Raw genomic sequence first — 21,694 nt, 5'->3', positions numbered from 1 at the left:
CCCCCACACTTAATATTGTCAGGCTTTCAAATTTTTGGACAGTTTGTGGTGTATGAGGAGTTATCTTGTGTTTAATTTTTATTCCTCAAATACTTTTAATGTGTTCAGTGGCCATACATTTTTTTTTGTTTTTTTGCTGTGCACCAGCTATGCATGTCTGATGAGCTCTCTTCTATTTCATTTTAAATCTCTATCTTATTAATTCATTGGAGTTCATTGTATATTCTGGAAAGTAAGCTTTTGTAAGTTATATGCCTTGCAAATATTTTCTCCCAGGTTGTGGCTTATTTTACAACTTGGTTTCTGGTAGGAGTTTTTTAGTCACATAAGGTTTTACTTTTGATGTAGCCAAATGTATGACTGGAATAGTGGTTCACACATTTCTGTAGACTCTGGAACCAGAAAACCAAGGTCATAACCCTGGCTTCTCTACTAACTGGCTGAGGGACCTCTAGCAACTTCCGTGGCATCTTTTTACCTTGGTTTTATTATCTCTAAAATGGGAAAATATTACCTTTCTCAAAAGTTTTAATATGAAGATTAACTACAAATCAGTTAGACTATTGTCTGCTACCAAATGAGACCTATATAAATATTAGCTATTAGGATTTTTGCTTTCAATATATTGTTTCAAAATTTCTTTCCTAGCATCACTGATGTCTTTATGTATTTAAAGGCTAAGTGTTATTTATGGTTGTCTTTGTCCTAAATACATGTTTTTCTCACAGTCACTAGGTTCTGGATCTTATATTTAGGTATATTCAAACACATATGGACTGATCAAAATTATGTCTATAGTCTTTTTTACATTTATTTCTTTAGAGGTGATTTCTATTTCATAAAATAGCATTTCAGCAGTAAAAGCAAACTTTATTTCCTGAAGTTGAACATGCATTTAAGTTATAACACCTTCAAAAATGACGTTTCTATTATATTAAATTGAATTATGTAATTGAGAGAAAATTTACCACAGGTAATTCCTAGACACCTGATATGAGTGTGTCTGTGACCCAGGCATAATCCATGTTTATTGAATAAATAAATAGTTTGTTTGCTTTTTAAAAAGCATCTACCTTAGAGCAATTTTTAAAACAAGGAATCAAATACATAAAATAGGCAATTGCATAAAATCTCCTAGCTAAGAGATTAAAGTGTGCACTTAAAGGAAATAAAATCCAAACCAGCTTTCTCTTGGGACTTCCATTCTCTGTGATCAGTCATACTTTTAATGCATTTTAACTGTGCCAAAGAAATCAGGGAAACCATTGAAGTGATTAGTGCTTTTTGTCTGCCCAAAAGGAAGTTGCCTGTGCTTTGGAAAGACAGTTTTATATTCACTTCCAATTATATTTTTTAAATTATAATAAAAAGAGTTTCTTCTTTTTTCTGTTGTGTCATAAAATTGAAACACATTTGATAGAGATGAACAGAAAAATAAATATCTAATAGCATGACGTGTAGTCCTAAACATAAAATCAACACCTGCACATAAAATCGGCACCACCTTATTTGTACTAGGGTTACCCCGGACATTTTCTTCCAACTCTGTGCTGCAGAAATCGAAGAGCAAGAGCAAGAAATGCCTTAGGAATTCACCTTTTTGTTTTGGTCAGTGTGACATTTATTCTTCAGGATCAGACAGCCCTCTAATTACAGAGTTTTAACACAACAATTATTTGTTTCTCACTGGTGCTCTGTGTTCTCTGTGGGTTGGCAGAAGTCTCCATTCCACATAGTTACTCAGGCATGCATCTCAACACAGGGCTTAAGAGAGAGAGAAAGCATGAAGACCTCATGCTTATTCTTCTGTGCTTGGCCATAAAGTGGCACTTGTCACTTCCTCTCATACGCTTTTGTGACCCCATCTATGTGCAAGGGAGCTAAGCAGAGTGTTTTCCTCAAAGTGCCTGCAAGGAGAGGAGTGCTGGACTTTACTGAGTACTGGGAATGACTTTCATTGACACCCTCACTCATATCACTTAAAATGGGTGGTAACCTAAGCATGTTTCCTTGCACAAATTTTTAAAAATTATTTTTTAATGTTTTAGAGGCAGTGGTCTTACTCTTTTACCTAGGCTGGGGTGCATGAGGGACAGTGGCGCAATCTCAGCTCACTGAAGCCTCAAACTCCTGGACTCAAAGAATCTTCCCATGTTGACCTCCCAATTAGCTAGAAATAGAGGCACGCACCAACAAACCTTGCTAATTTTTAAAAAGATTTTGTAGAGATGAGGTCTTGCTATGTTGCCCAGGCTAGTCTGGAATTCCTGGCCTCAAACCATCCCCCTGCTTCAGCCTCCCAAATCACTGGGATTATAAGCATGAGCCAGGGTTAGAGGCATGAGTCACCATGCCTAGCGCCACCATGACTTGATTTTGAAAGAATGGCTGTTATTAAAAAGTCAAAAAATAATAGATGCTGGAGAGGTTGAGGAGAAAAGTGAACACTTACACACTGTTGGTGGGAATATAAATTTGTGCAACCATTGTAGAAAGCGGTATGATGATTCCTCAAAGAGCTAAAAGCAGAACTGCTATTCAACCCGACAATCCCATTACAGAGGAATATGAATTATTGTACCATAAAGACACATGCACACAAATGTTCATTGCAGCACTATTTACAATAGCAAAGACATGGAATCAACCTAAATGCCCATCAATGATAGGCTGATTAAAGAAGATGTGGTACATATACACCATGGAATACTATGCAGCCATGAAAAAGGATGAGATCATGTCCTTTGCAGGAACATGGATAGGGCTGGAGGCCATTATCCTTAGCAAACTACTGCAGAGACAGAAAACCAAAGACTGCATGTTCTCACTTACAAGTGGGAGCTAAATGATGAGAACTTATGACACAAAGAAGGAAACCACAGACACTGGGGTCTATTTGAGAGTGGAGGGTGGGAGGAGGTGGAGAAGCAGAAAAGATAACTCTTGGGTTCTGGGCTTAATTCCTGGGTGATGAAATAATCTGTACAACAAACCCCCATGACATGAGTTTACCTGTGTAACAAACCTTCGCATGGATCCCGGAAATAAAGGTTTAAAGAAAAGAATTTGAGTTTAGGAGTTCACACATCAGTTTAAATCCCTGCTGGGATCCTTAGGAGCTGTTTGGCCAAGTTTTTCAACATTACTAAATCTGTTATTCCCCATCTATAAAGAAGAGATTTGTGATTGTTGTGAATTAACTGGGCCTTGGTATTCAGGAAGCACTTAGTAAATAGCTGTACTGGTGAAGGAATGTAGGAGTATAGAGATAATAGCAAATCCTGGAGGACATAACACGAGAACTTTTTTGTTGTATCTGTTTCCTGGCGCTGTCATAACAAATTACCACAACTGGGTGACTTAAAACAATAGAAATTTATTCTGTCATGGTTTTGGAGACCAAAAGTTCAAAATCAAGGTGTCAGCAGGGCTGCATTCCCTACAAATACTCCAGGGGAGTTTCCTTCCCTACCTCTTTCAGGTTCTGATGACTTCACGCATTCCTTGACTTGTGCCTGCATCACTCCAGTCTCTGCCCCCATTTTCACATGGCCTGCCCTTCTCCATTTTTGTCTCTCTTCTATCTCTTATAAGCACATGTGTAATTGGATTTAGGGCCCACCTGGATGATCCAGGATGACCTCATCTGAAGATTATTAACTTAATTACACCTGCAAAAGCACTTTTCCCAAATATGTTACCATTCACAGGTCTTAGGGTTTTGATGAGGACATATCTTTTGAGAGAGGAAGGCCCTCCGTTCAACCCACTATCAATATGGAAGTGTTTTCTATCTGTGTATAAATCCATGGCATGTAAACACTTAAAATATTATACCACCTTGAGAATTTGTCCAGCCTTAAAATATAGAAGAATGAAGTTGTGGGGAGCCCTAAATTAATAATGGATGATTAATGAAAATAGTATCTAGTGTTTTACAAAGTTAGAAGCACGCAAGGATCATCATGGAAGCTTGTTATGCAATGCAGGCTCCCAGCCTAATCCGTAGACTTTTTCATCTTGTAGGTCTCTAGTAGGGCCCCAAAATACATATACTTAAGAAATGCTACAGGTGATTCTGACACAAGTAAGCATTTGGAATTACTCAGAACCCATATGCCTGAGTTCTAGTCTAGTTTCTGCAAATGACCAATGGGATTGATCTTTAAACAGTAGTATTTTGATATTCACATTCTTGAAAAGTAATGATCCATAGACTTCTTAGAGGATTAAAATAGCCAGGATAACTATGGTTCTGATTTTTGAATTGGTGATTCTTGAATAATAAGATGGGACTACTTTATATTAAATTCCACTTACTAAGTGAACCTGTTAATTTTTAAAAGGTTTTTATAATTTTTAAAATCATTTTTATTACATTTCTATTTTAAGGGCTAAACTTTGTAGTTATATGTTACTATTATATAATGTCACATCTTTTTGTGCAAGAAATAGTTGCATTGGACTGAATTTGAAATATTATCATTTCCTGTATCAATATTGTCTACAGCTCTCATTATTATAAAACCATTGTCCAGTTTCCTAATATTGATTGACTCAGGGGCAAGATACCCCATAACAGTCACATGTCTCTTAATGGACTACTCTTGTTTTCATTTACGCCAGTCATGGCCTTTCTGAACATTGATTTATACCCAGAATTCCCTTTTTCTCCGTAAATGTATTCAGAACCCACCTCTAAGGTACAGACTAAAGGTCTACAATCCATGTGCTGTTGTGAAACTAATGAACTATTCAGAGAAGCTGCTTGAACAGAGTAAAATATCATGAAATAAGTGTACAAAATCATTCTCAAAATGATGTCTTTCAGGAATTAGCATGTAGATTTCTCACCGATTATTTACATATAAAAAAGGGGCCTGTAGGAAGTGTTTGCATACACAATGGAAGAATTGCTCATATTTAGAAACTATGTATTTTGTATTTAATAAGTCATTCAAAATAAATCTGTTACCTATACAGAACCACTCTATACAGTATCTTTGGCATATGTATATGGACAACCCTTTCCGTCTGGGTCATTTCATAAGATGTATTATTGAGATTTTTGGAAATGTGTATTTAGTTGGTGGTAAAGTGTTATAATTTTTAAATTACTTAAACTCTTAAATCAACTAAAGGGAAATTTTAATATGATATGGCTAAATGGAGGCAAAGATTTATTTCATCTCTCTAATAAAAAAAGGGATAGTTATTTCCTTATTAGGCTACCTTACAAAGTCTACATGATCCTATTCTAAAATAACTAAAATTGAGTAAAACTGCATGTATAGAGAAGCTATTGTAAAGAATGAGTCTAACAGGTTGGGCTTTGTAAAAAATGAGCTCTTCTGAAAATTACTGGACAATGTCCATTTAAAACATGCTAATACTTGCGAATCAAAAGGGATATACAGCAAATGGATTAAAATTAAAATTATATCAAAGTGGAATCCCTTTTCATAGTAAGAAATGAAAGGAAATGCAACGGGGCCACTGTTACTACCCTAATATGCCTTTGTGTCTTAGATTTTAGGGTTTTATTTTTCTTTTCTAATCAATGCATTATATCTCTGTATTTTCTTTTTTACAGTTCAGCAGAAGAGCAGTTTCAGTGGCAGTCACAAGGTAATGTCTATCTTATTGATGAACACTTACACTTCTAAACATATCTCTACTGATGACTTTTCTTATGAACTTTAGAATGAGACTTAGAAAAGTAATAGGAAAACATCCCGATAGTAAAATTAGATGAAGTTGTTATGATAGTTCACAATTTATTGAGAGTTAAATCTTTCAATTCTGTAGTAACTATGCTCTTCAAGGGTACATGAAATTGCTGACCTTGGCTTTAATGTTGGTTGACCAAAAATTAAAATGGAATAGCTAATGAAAACTTCATAGAGGTAATATATTTGACTAGGATATTTTCCATGATTAAATGATAACCTAAATCTTTAAGAATAATATACCATGTGTTTGTTCATCACTTTAAAATATTTCATTTCAGATGGTCAAAAAGATATCGAAGATGAGCTTACAACAGGTCTCGAGCTGGTGGACTCCTGTATTAGGTCACTACAGGAATCAGGAATACTTGACCCACAGGATTATTCTACAGGTGAAAGTAAGTCACGTGGCAGTTATGCTTGAAGATAGTTGAAATATAGGAGTATTATGTCATTATTTCTAATATCATTACTGTTATGAGCCATATCAAATGAGGATTTCAGGATATTTTTATACTTGTTTTATCCATTTCACTCCGTCCCATCTGTTCCCTTCCCACATTATCCCACCTCAGTTCACATTAGAGTATAAACTCTTTTAAGTCAGTAGTTGGCATCTAGTTTTCGCACTAATTACTGACATACTGGTGATTCTCACTGTTCTCTGATATCCTTTTCAATATCTAGACTACTGCATTTTATGAACTCATCATATATTTTGTAGTCAACACAATGTCTGCCTTAAAATTAACTATCAATGCTGGCCGGGCGCGGTGGTTTACGCCTGTAATCCCAGCACTTTGGGAGACCGAGATGGGCAGATCACAAGGTCAAGAGTTTGAGACCAGCCTGGCCAATATGGTGACACCCCATCTCTACTAAAACTACAAAAAAACTAGCCAGGCATGGTGGTGCGTGCCTATAGTCCCAGCTATTCAAGAGGCTGAGGCAGGAGAATCACTTGAATCCAGGAGGCAGAGGTTGCAGTGAGCCGAGATTGCGCCACTGTACTCCATCCTGGGCAACAGAAGGAGACTCCGTCTTAAAAAAAAAAAAAAATTACCTATCAGTGCTTTACTCATAGAGATCACTGTTGGTAGAAATCATAAAAAGCAGCAATTATATGACAAAATAGGAAAAAAAATGGTGTACTCTTAGTATTATCTATTTAGTACTATGCTAAGGTACTATGCAATAAATTCTTACATTTCTGTATTTAACCATCTTGCATTGCTATATTAATTCCATAGAACATTTAAAAATCACTTTCTCTCCATTTAATGACGTATTTTTCAACCAGAATGGTTGTGGATTAGGAGTTGAAATGGACCTCCTTTAAATAAATCATAAAATTCTTTTTACTTATTTTAATAAAATTCCACAAAAGACTAAAAATTTCATCATTAAAATAGGTATTATCCTGGTAATACATCAAAAACCAGTGAAGCATTTTATTCCTTAATTTAAAAAATAAAATTTCCTCCAATACCCACTAAGCTTCGTCATGCAAAAGGAAGACATAAGGATAAGATAGCAAACTGATCTTGAAAACCATTTATTTTACAGATTAGCTCATTTTCTCTATAATCTTTGTAATACCATTACTGTTAGGATAACATTGCTGTGTATACACAGATTTATTTATACCCATATGCATCCTCTCAATACAATTCGTAAAGAAAGATTGGTTGGTATTATCCTTGTTCTCTGTATTTTGTATTGAAAAATGTCTAATCGTTACCTCTTTTACTCATAGTCATTAAATATATTTCTCTTGTAGGGACAACTCTAGTTAGAACACATTTAATTAATATTTGAAACACATGCATTCATCTTATTAGCAAGTAATAAGAGCAGCAACAGAATAGTTTGCCTTGTTGGGAAACGGGGAGATGATAGTGGAAATCTCATTTTTTAATATAATAATATATTTGATAACGAGTTTAGGAGAAGGAGTAACATTTAATAAATGGAAAGTACAGAAAATAATTAATGAGTTAAATAAAAAGTAAACAAATTAAAATAGAAGGGAAAATATAGGTATATCAATCTAATGCTGCATTCTAAATTCTCCTCTGAAAAGAATAAAAGTTCAAATTTGCAGTAAACAAAGAAAGTAGTTATGAGTTATTCATAACATTTAATGAAATAAGTGTTGAAATTAAAGGAATGGTCAAAGTAGTGCCTGCAAATATAATCAATGCAAAGAGTGGGATTGGAAGAATAATGTGAGATAAATTGGAATTTAATACAGAATCACTTAGCAGGGCCAAAGATGGGAGTTATGTAGTGAGCTGTCTTAACTTATAAAGATGTGTTAAGCTCATACTCAAATCTAATGAACATGTGTGCACCAAACAGCATAGCATGTGAATATTAAAACAAATGTTACTAAAAATAAAAGAAATTAAGGAAAAATATTATTGTGAACATTTGAATGCACGTCTCATGAATCAGACAGAATGCTAGAAGGGAAAGCCACAAAATGTTGAAATAACAAATTAAGATAACCATGTATTAAATAACTTTTAAAGGTTTTATTTATTGCATGATAGTATATGTTTGTTACATATGTCCAAGGAAAATTTATAAAAATTGACCAGCTACTAGAAGATAAAGGCAATTATAAAAGTTAAGAAGTATGGAGGGCCATATTCTTGGATAAAAATCTACCAACACTAAAAGTAAATAATAAAATTGTAAGCAAAATGTACTAATATTAAAACTAAGAAACATACTTCTGGATATTTACTGAATCAAATGGAAATAATAAAGAAAATTGCATAGCATTTACTAAGCAAATAAAACAGGAACATTTTTTAGTAAAAACAGAAGTATGGGGGAAAAAACACATTCAGAGGATATCTTAACTTCATGATTAAAAATAGAAAACAAAATAAAGAATGTTGTACTTATTTGGGGAAAATCTTAAAAGAGGTAAATAAATAGCAAGAAACTAGTAAGATGCATACGATAATAGTAATGCAGAGATAAAGTAATATAAAGTAAAATAGTCAAAGATAAATAAATGCCAGAAGAGATAAATAGAGGGGATAAATAGATGATATTTTTTTCTGTAAGTCAAATAATAGTACTGAGCTTTCTTAGTTGAGAAACTCTGTTACACACAAGGAAAATGGAAAGAAATTTTTTAGCTTTCACTTTAGTTTGCCTGCAATATGTATTCAAAAATTACCTACAAATGGTTTATAATAGGGAAGTTAAATGCTCCAGTATGGTCTTTCCACATATATTTGGTAACCACCAAATATTTATTTTTCAGAAAGATTAGTCACTTTATATTGTCACGTACTGAATTATCTTATTGAAGACTCCTAGGATTTTAGTTGATTATTTCTTTTGAAAGCTCCTTCATCCTGCTTTGAAGAAAGGAAAAGAAACAAAACAAAAAAGAAACAATTGATAAAAGTACCATTCAAAAGTTGTATGCGGAAGGATTCTGAACCACAGTCACATAAAGAATATTATTATTCTTAAGAACCATTTGCCCTTAACATATTCAGAGTCACCTTGAAACTGAAGTAACTGAGTAAAAACTAGGAAAATAATTTTAACATATTGGGTAGATAACTATCATTTTGGGCATCAATATTGCGAATTTTAAGTGTTCAGAGGATCATAAAATAAAAATCTAAATTGCTCTGTGTATATATATTAGTTAGGTTCCAGATGAGATATAGATTCTATTCAAAAGAGTTTAACTGAACAGAATTTAATTAAGGGACTATTTATGAAGAGGTGGGCAAGATTAAGGGAACAAACAGCGCATGTTGTGGTATTCAGGCAGTGGAAGACAGATGCCCTTACCACCCTTAGACCCTAAGGGAAATCAAGGAACTATCCCCAGCAGAGTCTAGCAGCAAGCGGGGAATCAATGTCATAATCTCTTTTTCCTCCCTCCCCCAATCTCCTTCTCCTGCCTCCCATTGGCCAAACCCAACCAGAAGCCAAACTGAAAGACATCCTTCTCTGTGCAGAGGACTAGCAGAGAGTGAGTGTACAGCACTATCAGCACAGCATCCTCCTCGATAGTGGAACAACCGTATACCATATTTACCTCTCCCGTATAGAAACATAGCAAATAGATATGCAGTGGCACATTGACAGATTTCATCTAATTAGGAAAAGCCCATCAGATTCTGCCAGTCAGTGATTATTCAATCAATGGATTCATTAGCTATGAACCAGCTAATGCTAAATTGGACCTGGCACCCTGCCCTTGAGAACCAGTCTCTTAATCCTCACTCAAAAGGGACTAAAACAAGGCTAAATACTGTCTAAACTCAGTCTGGAAAAGTTCTAAAATGGAAAGCAGTCTCACCCCATGATCGCATAGTTCTTAATTTGTTTTATTTAAAGCTTTTTGCTATTTGTCTTTCAAAGGTCTGATTAAAATAAAATTTGAGTCACAGTACGCATCTTTTTGACCTCAAGACAAGCAGTAACTGCTCTGCTATGCTGATTTTATTGGGTCATACAGTTACCAGTGTTTTCCAACACTTTGTGTATTTTTAACAGTGCAATCTGAAACACTTGGTAAACCATGTGCACAACCTTTGCCACCCTGCCTCTTTTTTGTGACTACCGGCTGTGTAATTTCAATTTTAACAAATATTGTTAAACAAACTAGTCACTGAGTCACTAGGAGAATTGTTTCAGAGACTGCTGTCGCTTCAGTGGAACAAAACAAAACAATAAAAAATAATTTACCAACAGAAGCTTGGGGCCATTAGCTTTCTACATAATGAATAATGTGACTTGAACTGCCTAGGACCAAGTACTTTCTTTAATCTATGCATCCTTTTATATACAAACTCAGAAATAAAGGTGATTATATCTTAGCCAGTGATTCACAAAAATGTTGTCAGTCAAAATAAGAAATAGAAAGGATAACCTGGAAAAAAATAACTCGTATGTTTAACCACAGATTGTTAATTTGTTTAAATATTGTATTTTGCAATAGTAATTATTTTTTCTGTAGCATATTAATGAATTGAAATTCTGTCATATTTTAGAAAATTCCATTATTCAGTAGGAAGAAAATCTTCAGAGCTAATATATTCTGAGTGTTATGGTTAAAAAAAAGTACATATTATTATAAGTTTTCAAATCTGAATATATTTTTAAATATATTCAGGAATCAATCGTATATGTTACCATTCTAAGCAGGTGGAATTAAAATAGAATAATCATATATAGTTTAACAGAGGCAAATATATTATTCACTGTTGACTTACAGTTTTATTTTATTTTGATTACTGTGAATATACTTAATTTACAAGAGACGTTTGAGAGATCAGGTTATTTAAAAGCTATAAAACCTAATTCCATATGTTCTCATGCAATAATAATAATAAAGGTGGGAGGCATCCTTGTGAAGTGAATGTTTTCATAATTCGTGTTAAGCATGACACCAAAAGATGCAGAAGAGGTCTTAGGAGAGTAAATTTTTCATGAAAATCATAGTAGTCAAAATGATAAATCCATTAATCAAATTGGCTCAAAAAATAAAAGTCATGGTCAGGGAAAAAGGGCTGTTTTCTTTGTTTTGCTTTCTATTATAGTGGAAACCAGGTCCTCCAATAGACCCAACAGGATAGAAAACCTTCCTTATCCCAGATGTGCCCAAGGACTGTCACCTGGCCTTAGAGACCCCACATCCTGAAAGCGTGTCTGAGTCAGTTGAGCTATCCTAATTGTTCATTCCCTGTGAAATCACTTTATCATATGCTCTTTGGTCCAGTTTTGTTTATTTACTTACTTATGAGATGGAATTTTGCTTTTGTTGCCCAGGCTGGTGTGCAATGGTGCAGTCTCAGCTCACTGTAACCTCTGCCTCCTGGGTTCAAGCGATTCTGCTGCCTCAGCCTCCCAAGTAGCTGGGATTACAGGTGCCCCACTACGCCTGGCTAATTTTTGTATTTTTAGTAGAGACGGGGTTTCACCATGTTGGTCAGGCTGGTGTTGAACTCCTGACCTCCAGTGATCCGCCCACCTTGGCCTCCCAAAGTGCTGGGAGGTCCAAGTTTTTAAAATACAAACAAGACTGTTCTTTCCAGAGGTTTGTCATGGTGTCCATGTCTAAAGTTGGCTGATGCTACCATTCCTTTTGAAATTCACTTACACTCACTTCCCCCCCTACCTCGGGTATATGAAATTAATGGGAGGTTAGCAGTAGCAAAAATAGAAGGTGAGGGCAAAAGCTGAGGGAAAACACATAGGTGGCCCACAGGAAATAATAAAATCCTTCAGGAAGCTGTAATTATCCTCCATTCCAGAAAGTATTTCTACCTGTTTCTCAGCTGGTGTTTAATTTCTCTCTCTTTTTTTTTTTAACGGAGTCCTGCTCTGTCGCCAGGCTGGAGTGCAATAGTGCAGTCTCATCTCACTGCAACGTCTATCTCCTGGGTTCAAGTGATTCTCCTGCCTCAGCCTCCCAAGTAGCTGGAATTACAAGCATGAGCCACTGCTCCGGCCTAATTTCTTTTTCTTAGATTTCACTTAGATTTCCTCCTACCATGTAGATGTTTCAGAAGCATGTTATACCTTCTCTAACAAGGTCGCCAGCTCAGAGGCAAACCTAAGAATTTAAGGAATAGGCAAAGGCATCAAGTAAGAAGAGCTCTTTAACCACACACTTAATATGAGAAAACAATGCAAATTTCTCATTAAAGACATCATTCCCACTTGAGTTATCAGGATCTTCTGGGATCAAGCACAATGTGTGTAGAACCTGGTGGGAATTTCCTGGTCTTGAAATTGTCAAGGCATTGTAGATTCCCGGAACACAAATATGAAGATTAGATGAAAGCTGCTGAAAGTGAGGACAGGTTCAGAGCTGCCATAGGTATGAGAAAAAGCAAAGACGCTGCCAGCCCCAGTGAGAAAGCCTTAGAATAAGCAGACTTTTCCCCGCGAGGCAGAGGAAGGAGAGGACTCTCTCAGTAACACATTATGAAGATGTATTGAGGGATTTCCCCAAAAGTTAAAACATATGAATATTGGCCAGGCACAGTGGCTCATGCCTGCAATCCCAGCACTTTGGGAGGCCAAGGCAGGCAGATCACTTGAGGTCAGTAGTTTGAGACCAGCCTGACCAACATGGTGAAACCCCATCTCTACAAAAAATTAGCCGGGCATGGTGGGGCACCCCTGTAATCCCAGCTACTTGAGAGGCTGAGGCAGGAGAATCGCTTGAACCTGGGAAGCAGAGGTTGCAGTGAGCCAAGATTGCCTCACTCCACTCCAGCTCTGGCAATAGAGCCAGACTTTGTCTAAAAAAAAAAAAAAAAAAAAAAAAAAAAAAAAAAGAATACAGATACTGACAGATACTGATCAAACAATAAGGCACTTGCACTTGAACAGTAACTGATGTAACCAACTCTTAATGTACTGAGTTTTTGTTATATCACTGTAGGCACAGGTGGATGTTCCAGTCATTTATTTTGTTAAATGTATGTATTAACCACTTATTAATGGCAGGAACAAAGGGTCTCTGTCCTTGTGGCATTTACATTCTAGTCAGAAAAGGCCAAAATCAACCTTTTCAATACTGGAGGGCCAGATCGATAATGGCTTTGCAGAAGGACAAAGCCAGGTCAACAGTAGAGTAGAGCACCTTTTCTCAAAATATACTTGGGAATTCTGGGGTCTTCGTGGCCCCTGATGGGGACTTTCAAAGCCAAAAGGTTTTCATAATAATACTAAGAGATACTTGCTTTCCCATTCTTTTTCTCACACGAATGTTTTTGAAGATTTCCAGAGACTACATGGCATGTAACAACATCATGTCCCTGACAGCTCTGGGAATGTGTGCTGCATATTCTTCTGTTGGAAACATTTTGAGTGACTAGCATCATATATACCCAGATAAAATAAAGCTCTTTGGAGTCCTCTATAATTTTGAGGGTTAAGAGACCAAGAGTTTTGAGAACCACTAGAATAAAGAATGATCGAAGGCCAGGAAATCCTCTATTGTGAGAAGACATTGAATCAGAGACCTGAAAGAAATGCACCAGCAAGCCATGCAGATCAACGGGGGGCAAATGTGTGATGTGTCACAAATCAAAGACTGGTTCTTTAAACTGCTATGTTCCCATTCACAAATTGTAGTGTTTTCTGAGTTTCACTTTTAAATTTTATTTTCTTCAAAACCAATTTGTATTAATGTTTTATTTATTTTTGCAAGTATTGATAGTGAGAAATACGAATATATCAGATCCTCTTTAAACTATTTATGAAGAAATAATGTTTTTCTTCTCCTTGTGCTACATTAATTTTTAATGGCAAATAACCTAAAGACAAAACTTTGTAAGGTATAGTTGGGAATTGGAATGAACGATGAAAAGTACACTTCTCTGATTACAATATTATGTGCAATCTCACTCATGATAAAATTCTTTGGGTACACATTCCAAACTAAAGTTATACATTTGAGAGTTATTTTTATGATAAATGTCAGTTTGCTCATGTCTTCCATTTTACACCATTGTAAAGAAATTGAGTGACCTTGCAGCCATAAAAAAGGATGAGTTCATGTCCTTTGCAGGGACATGGATGAAGCTGGAAACCATCATTCTCAGCAAACTAACACAGGAGCAGAAAACCAAACACTGCATGTTCTCACTCATAAGTGGGAGTTGAACAATGAGAACCCATGGACACAGGGAAGGGAACATCACATACAAGGCCCGATGGAGGATGAGAGGGAAGGGGAGGGAGAACATCAGGACATATATCTAATGCATGCAGGGCTTAAAACCTAGATGACAGGTTGATAGGTGCAGCAAACAACCACGGCACATGTATACCTATGTAACACACCTGCACATTCTGCACATGTATCCCAGAACTTAAAGTAAAATAAAATTTAAAAAAAAGAAAAAAAGTTGAGTGACTTACTGTGTAGTGCAAACATTTGACCAATCCTTTATGTATCCATCCACAGTAGTCAAACTTGGAAAAGCGTACTAATTAAGCCAAGGACATTGGATAAGTCTAAATCAGTTTAAAAACTAAATGGGTACTTCTATATTCCTGGGACCATTAACGTTTTAATTTTCACATAAAGCATTACACATTGAAAGCAACTGACCAGACGAAATAGATATTCTGGAGACAGAGGCTTAGAAATGATATTTATAAACACACCTGCCCGTCAACTCTGAAGCTTTCTTGCATAACAAGCCCCTTGGGCTTTTTCTCTCAGCTCATTTTTGGAATGGTAGATGCGCTGAGCCACTATTTTTAGGGGACCTCCTCAGAGAAACTCCTCCAAATGAGCTTTATAAGTTACTAACGAAGATCAGGAGAAAACAACCACTTTATCATCAGTAGCTACCTCTTACTCTAAGTTAATTTGTAAATGGGCAAGTTCTTCTGGAACCCATAAAGGTGAAACTGCTGCTACAAATGAAATCATTAGTAGTGAAATTTAAACAGAATATTTTTATTCTGCAGAGTTAAGTCTGATCAAAGTGCTTTGAATCTATTTAAATCAGTTTGGTAATTTTAGAAATAATCAACAATTTTTCTCATTGATTTTGTAATGGTCCAATAACCCTTTTGTATGTAAGTTCTACCATCTGTTTCCTTTATTCTTACTTAATATTTTCTATTAAAATATTGGGAGGTGACATTTAAGCAGCAGTTTAAGTTTGAGAATGAGTTTTGAGGTTGATGGAAAAAAGAATTTCAGGCTGAGGAAACGGAGAACTGTCTCTAAGTGCCAAAAGATTTTAGCTCCTCATCTATTTGCTCTGACATTAGTTTTGTTGTTGTTGTTGTTTTATTGCATGCAGGCCATTTTAATGAACTGTGCCTTGTATGTTTTGTTTGTAAGATGAAAGCTTGCAGGTTGTTGAAAGAAAGCATGAATAATGTGTGGGAGAGTCCTACAATAAGGTTTTCAAGACCAAAATATCCCTGTGAAGGTTTTATTATTATCAGACCATGTGGCTATGCAATTAGATAATCAGATAATAATAACTGATATTTATATAGCAGTTAAAATTTTTCCAAGCACTTGCACATCCATTATCTCCTTAGGTGTTCAAATTTGGAAAGATTACAATTTGTTGTGACAGAATCATGAAGTGTGCTTAAGAACACACATTCTGAAGCCAATCTGCTATTTTTGTTTAACCCCAGGCCCACGAGTAACTGTGAGGTTTCAGTTAATGGATCCCTCAGTTCCCCCGACATTAGTGGGAATGGTTGTACCTTCCTCGCTTAGATGTCATTAAAATTGAATGGGTTAGTAGATGGAAACTGCTCAGGACAATCCTTGGAATTTCTTAAGTACTCAAAAAAGGTTAACTGGTCATTACTGTCACTGTCATCATCATCTTTGTCATCATCATCTATGGTCAAATAAGTATGGAGATGGGCTAGAGCCCAGGTCTGTGGATGTCCAGTCCTGGATTTTTTTCAACACACGTTCAGATACTCCATTAGTGTGGTTGTGACTTATAGAATAACTCGGGAATGCCACATTGTAGACCTCTGGCCTCTTCTGTATTATTACAAAGTATATTCTTTAATTGAAGGTCTACTGTATTCTAAGGCAGATGTTCAGCTAACGCAGGCAAATATTAGCAATTCCAAATAAAGTCTCTTTAAAACTAGGTAAACAGAACAAGTGCACATAATCATGGAAACTCTAAAATACTCAGTTAATCTGATCAGAAGAAGCTGGCCATATTGTGTCTGTGTTATATAGTGTCTGTATTGATATGACCTATAAGTGGGTCTGAATTTTTATGCAGAAAATTAACATTTCAACCTCTACATCTTCTGAGATTGATTTTGTCCCACGAATAGTGGACAGCGAGTTTCCTCTAGCCAGCACCTGGAATCTGTAAGCAGCAGTTCACTGGAGAAGCACCAAAATCTGAGGCATGAAGATTTCTCCTGCAAACAAGTGGATTTCTGTTTACACAGGACTTTTTCAACCTTAAACTGCTGACATGTATATATGACTTAAAGAAACAGTGTTTTGATATTAAACAACAACAACTTTTGGACTTGGAGACAGAAGATAAGGATCCAAGCCTCTTCATGTTACCATGTCTGTGACACTGGCTGCCAATTTAACCTCTTTGCCTCTGCCTGTACTTCTAGGACAAAAATGAAGATCATGCAGTTTTTTTCACAGGTTGCTGTGTAGTCTCTAACCAATTCATACATGTGAAAACATATTGAGACATTGGTGTTACACTCAAGATCCTTGCTTCATGTATCTTCTTAGGATTAATGGAATCAACTTTGTAGTTCCCTTGGAATTTCTTCTCTCTATCCAGTTAAGGATAGTAGGTTTTGTTTCAGAACAAAGAAAACTGTCTTAAGCATCATCAATGTATGAGGAAATGGTTTCACCTTTTCTTCCTGGCTCACAGGGGTGATTCATTTTGGGAAAACCCTTGGGCTCAGTTCTGAGGACTATTCTATCATGGAGAAGGGCCAGATGGTCAAAGAAGTCACTGTGACCCCTCAGGTCAGCGTCTTGAAGGCAAATGAGACCATGGCTTCTGCTCTCTGTGGCCAAGAAGGACATGATGATCCGCTGTTGCTCACAGTTCAGATGTCTACTGGAAATCATTACATTAAAGACAATAGCCTGTTTCCCTGGGTGAAATGTTAGGGTCCAGCTTCTTTCTCTTCGTCTACCATTTCTTTCCATATCACCCACATCCTTCAGGTCATAGATTCCATAGGTTCAGGACCACAGCCTCGTTTTACCTCTAGCCCAAGCAAGGCTTGATTAAAAAGTCAAAAGTTCCAGAGGAAAAAAAAAACATAATTTAAAGCCCAAAACTATAAATGCTTTTTAAATCCTTGGCAAATTTGTATTTTCTACCTCATTGCACAGTAATATTAATAAAGCTAATTGAAAGTTAGTTACATTTAAATTGTACTTTCATTATAAAGTAGTTAAGAATTGTCCTAAAATTTTAACGTGTTTCATATGTCTGTGCTCTCTAAAATTAGAATGAGTAAATGACACTGATTTAAAACCTAGTGAGCAATGGAAAAACATTCTAAAATGCATACATGGTTTTGGCTATTGTCTTGACTGTTCTGTCCTTGCCAGGTGATATGTCAGTGTTGTAATATTCTGATACATTGCTCATTGTTGCAATTACTTTTGTCAGAGTACATCTAGTTTTCAGTGCTTGAGATGTATGAATAGAGTAATGAGATAGAAAATCCTGGTTACTTTTCATTGAGTACTGATCAAATACACAACTGATTCTATAAAAGATGAAGAGATTTCATTATTCTATCATATATATTCTGGGAGCAAGTAAACCACATTTTTAATTTAAATTCTTTTGAAAAGGGACTTTACATTGTCATTAGAAGATACTGTACAGACAGCATTTGTAAGTTTCTGGAGATAATTGTATGAGTCTATTCAGAATATACAAAGTTATTTAACTTGCTAACTACATACTCAAAACAGTTCTTCAGAGCAATTCCTGCATTCTCTTTGAAAGACAAATAATGAGGACATGCAACTGTCTAAGATAATGCTAAACTTCTTCCATGAAATTAAGTATTTTGTTTATGTGTTTATTTACTTCATTCTATTGATATTTCCAAAGGTCTGTGCACTGTCGTTGTATCTGCTTTAACCTTCTTTGCCCTTAGGATGCATTACTATCTCAAGGGGGGAGGAGAGGCTGGCCAGTACAAGCCATTATGCCCAGGTAGACTGTACAAAAAAGAAAGAACCAAGAAAGCTGCAGCAGGCAGCCCTCCTTTGTCAGGTAGAATGGTGACCACCCAGCTGAAAAGGCCTTTGCTTTTCCACCATAGCTCACTCCCACCATTAAAATGTGACCTTCGGAGGGACAAAGGGTAAAGCCCTTAGCCACAGTTGTCACTGTCTTCCCAGTGCCCACCTCCTTCTCCTCCGCTTTATGGTTAGTCTCCACTTGCCCCACCTCCAGAGGCTCTCCCATATCTCAGCCTGCCTGTCACTTGGACCTCAGACACTGTTCTTTGACTCTGCTGGGCCTGGCAGCTTCCATAGCAGTGATAGGGACAATACGTTCCTGGCACCCAGAATCAAATTCTAAATGCATCTCCCCTCAGAGACTTCCTTATATTCAGTGATTGAGTCCTATAATGCCATTAGGACAGAATAAATGATTTTTTTTCCAGGCTATTGGAAATGTTACCATCTGGTACATACTGTTTTCTCAGGACTGGGTTTCTTAAATTAAAAGTGAAGGGATTGCATTTGTACTTTTGTTACACCCTTCATGATGAAGTTGTGGCTGGATGAAAACACTTTTATTTCCTTGCTTACCTTTTTTTTTTCCAGAAACCGCATAGATTCCAAAATAACTGTACTAGTTAATTGGCATATTATTCAATATAAAATGTTGATGAAAAATTATCTTCATGTTGTTTCAAATACTGATGAAAAAATATCTTGATGTTGTTTCAAAGTTCCATCAGAAAATCAGAGGGATTGGGAAGGCTTTAAGTGCCAAAGAATTTGTGAACCAATGTTATTTAAAAGAGGATGCATTATTTTTATGAAAGGTGATCCACATCATGTCTCATTCGAAATATAAAGTCATGTTCCATTCTTAAAAAGAAAAAAATAAGGAACTTGAAATTTGCTCATACTTATCAGAAGTGATATTATTGTCTAAAACAGCCAAAGAGGGGGATCAAGAATGATTTAATGGTTATGCTATAGTCTATATGTGTATTATTACACTCCATCGAATATATGACTTTGTACTATGGTACAAAGAGGCAGGAGAAAACTTGTATTGCCAAGTTTTTGCCACTGACACGCTCTTCTTACCCCAGCCCCTCTCAAACACACACAATGGAAAATAACAAGTACATTTACTCTCCTCCATATTTATTTGATCCCTAAAGAGAGTATTAAATTTGATCAAAGAAAATTTGCTTAAAAAGAAAATGGGAAAATGTTTGCAAGGATCTCATCTAAAAAGAATATAAGAAAACAAAACACAATTTCATATGCAACGTATAATTAAGTAAGACCAGAAACTGATTCTTCACCCCTTGTAATATCAGCTACATGCGTGGCATGAATTTGAACACCGTATGTTCTCTTTGTTCTCCTACTGTGCACTGCTGGGATGGTAAAGGTAACCAGTCATCAGGGATTATGTGAGGCGACGGTGAATTCCACATCGTACAAAGAGCTATTAATATTTTAAACACTGTCTACCCTTCAGGCACTGAGGTATTATATCACTATTTATACAGTAGAATTTGTCAGTGATTGGAAGGTTTCGAGTGTTTTAGCATCTCCATCATTAAGTAGGAGATATAATTATATTAGCAAAATTAACAGGTACCGAAAAGTAGAGTTTTACATTATTTCAAATGTTTCTGATATTGTCTGATCCCAAAATAACTACTTGATTAACTAATTTGTCTCATAAGAAATGTCTCTATGTAGGTCAGGATGAGATCATTTGAAAAATCTACTCCTTTGAGAACTTTTAAACCACCACCAAAAAAAAAATAAAAAATAAAAAATCTCATCTGAGAGCTGGAGTCAAATTATATGGTCATTTTAGTTCTCAGAATTTTAAGCATGGATGGCTGGAATCATGTGCATGAGATAATTCTAGGCTACTCTCAATAAATAATACATGTCATTTCTGCTTCACTGAGACTGTCACTGACTGCTCTAAATGACTTTCAATGCAGGGCCCAGCCTGCTCTCCCAGAGTGCACTTCAGCTCAATTCCAAACCTGAAGGGTCTTTCCAGTATCCGGCCAGCTACCATAGCAACCAGACCCTGGCCCTGGGGGAAACCACCCCTTCACAGCTCCCGGCCCGAGGCACACAAGCCCGAGCTACGGGCCAGAGCTTCAGCCAGGTAGGTACCCAGTGCTGTATGGTGTCAGTGGACTCCAAGGGGACAGGTGGGGAATGGGCATGCAGTGGATGTGGAGATTGTGGAGATCCAGCCTGCCTTTTTTGTAGGTGTGTCCCTCAACTTGAGGGAAAATGCCCTTTGGTGCTGTGAATGAAGAAAATAAATAATAAAATACAATTATGGAGTAATGCTAAATTACAGACATTTTCTTTAGAAATATCTATGTATTGTTCACGCTATACCTGTCTTATATATGTTTCCCTGTGTGACTATGTCAGTGTCCATCTAGTTACTCCCTCTATGTCTATATGTGATATAAGTATGATATACATTCTGAATTTGTGAGTGTACTCGGAAAAAATACTGAGTATTGTGTCTCCTAAAAAAAAGCATGGGATTGCTTTGTGGTTTTTGATATCAATATAAAGAAACATACTATAAATGTGTAATCAGGTAAACAGAACTGTTTGGAAAATGATTGTGATGAGTTTAGGCATAGCTGCATTTTGTGAAGTCTGATTTTGAAATTTGCCCTCCATTGTTTCTTTAAGGCAGGTGCTTGATCTTACAGTTTCACTGCACAAATACATTAGCTGCAGTTAAAACCAACTCTTGGTAAAAAGAAGCAGCTACCAATCTGGAAATTTTTTTTTTTCAAGAAAGATGTAAATGTTGTTATTTAGAAGAGAGGAGAGAAGGGATGCTAATATTTTAGTTTTTATAATTTTGAGGTACCCACCAGAGTATAATTTTGATCATCACGCCAGAGTTAATTTATTGGAAGGCTGTCTTGTTTTAAGCTTATTTTCAGCAACATAAGTCCTTCTAACCTCTGTGTTTTTGCTTCTGGAATGAAGAACTGCAAGCCCCACACCACGTTTGCAGCTGACAAAGTTAGTTTCAGCCCTTTTGCATTTATTGGGCACTATCTCTTCCAGGAACCCTTCCTCTGAAATGCTCACTATGCACCACTGGCTCTGTAACCCCCGAGCCCATCTCTTTCACCAATTTATTGATGTTATCCATCCAGGCATTCCTCTAACTAAACTGAAAGCTACTTGA

At 36.2% G+C, this 21,694-nt stretch overlaps 1 protein-coding gene across 11 annotated transcripts in view; it reads left to right on the top strand.

Moving 5' to 3' along the window:
* The window catches only part of CTNND2 (catenin delta 2), a 932,611-nt gene that overhangs the window by 486,784 nt on the left and 424,133 nt on the right, over positions 1 to 21,694 (top strand). For 6 of the 11 annotated variants that reach the window (NM_001288717.2, NM_001332.4, XM_005248251.4 and 3 more), the window contains 3 exons: positions 5,594 to 5,628; positions 6,011 to 6,127; positions 20,460 to 20,632. Coding sequence is in view for 9 of the 11 variants with exons in the window: in NM_001332.4 (NP_001323.1) it covers positions 5,594 to 5,628; positions 6,011 to 6,127; positions 20,460 to 20,632 (325 nt within the window). In the remaining 2 variants the exon portion in view is untranslated. The remainder of the gene's footprint in view (positions 1 to 5,593; positions 5,629 to 6,010; positions 6,128 to 20,459; positions 20,633 to 21,694) is intronic. The other 5 variants (NR_109988.2, XM_017009074.2, XM_017009072.2 and 2 more) reach the window with 1 other exon arrangement.

Source organism: Homo sapiens, chromosome 5, assembly GCF_000001405.40.
Source record: "Homo sapiens chromosome 5, GRCh38.p14 Primary Assembly".
In the NCBI taxonomy this organism is placed as follows: domain Eukaryota; kingdom Metazoa; phylum Chordata; class Mammalia; order Primates; family Hominidae; genus Homo; species Homo sapiens.
This window is presented reverse-complemented; position numbering and strand designations above follow the sequence as displayed.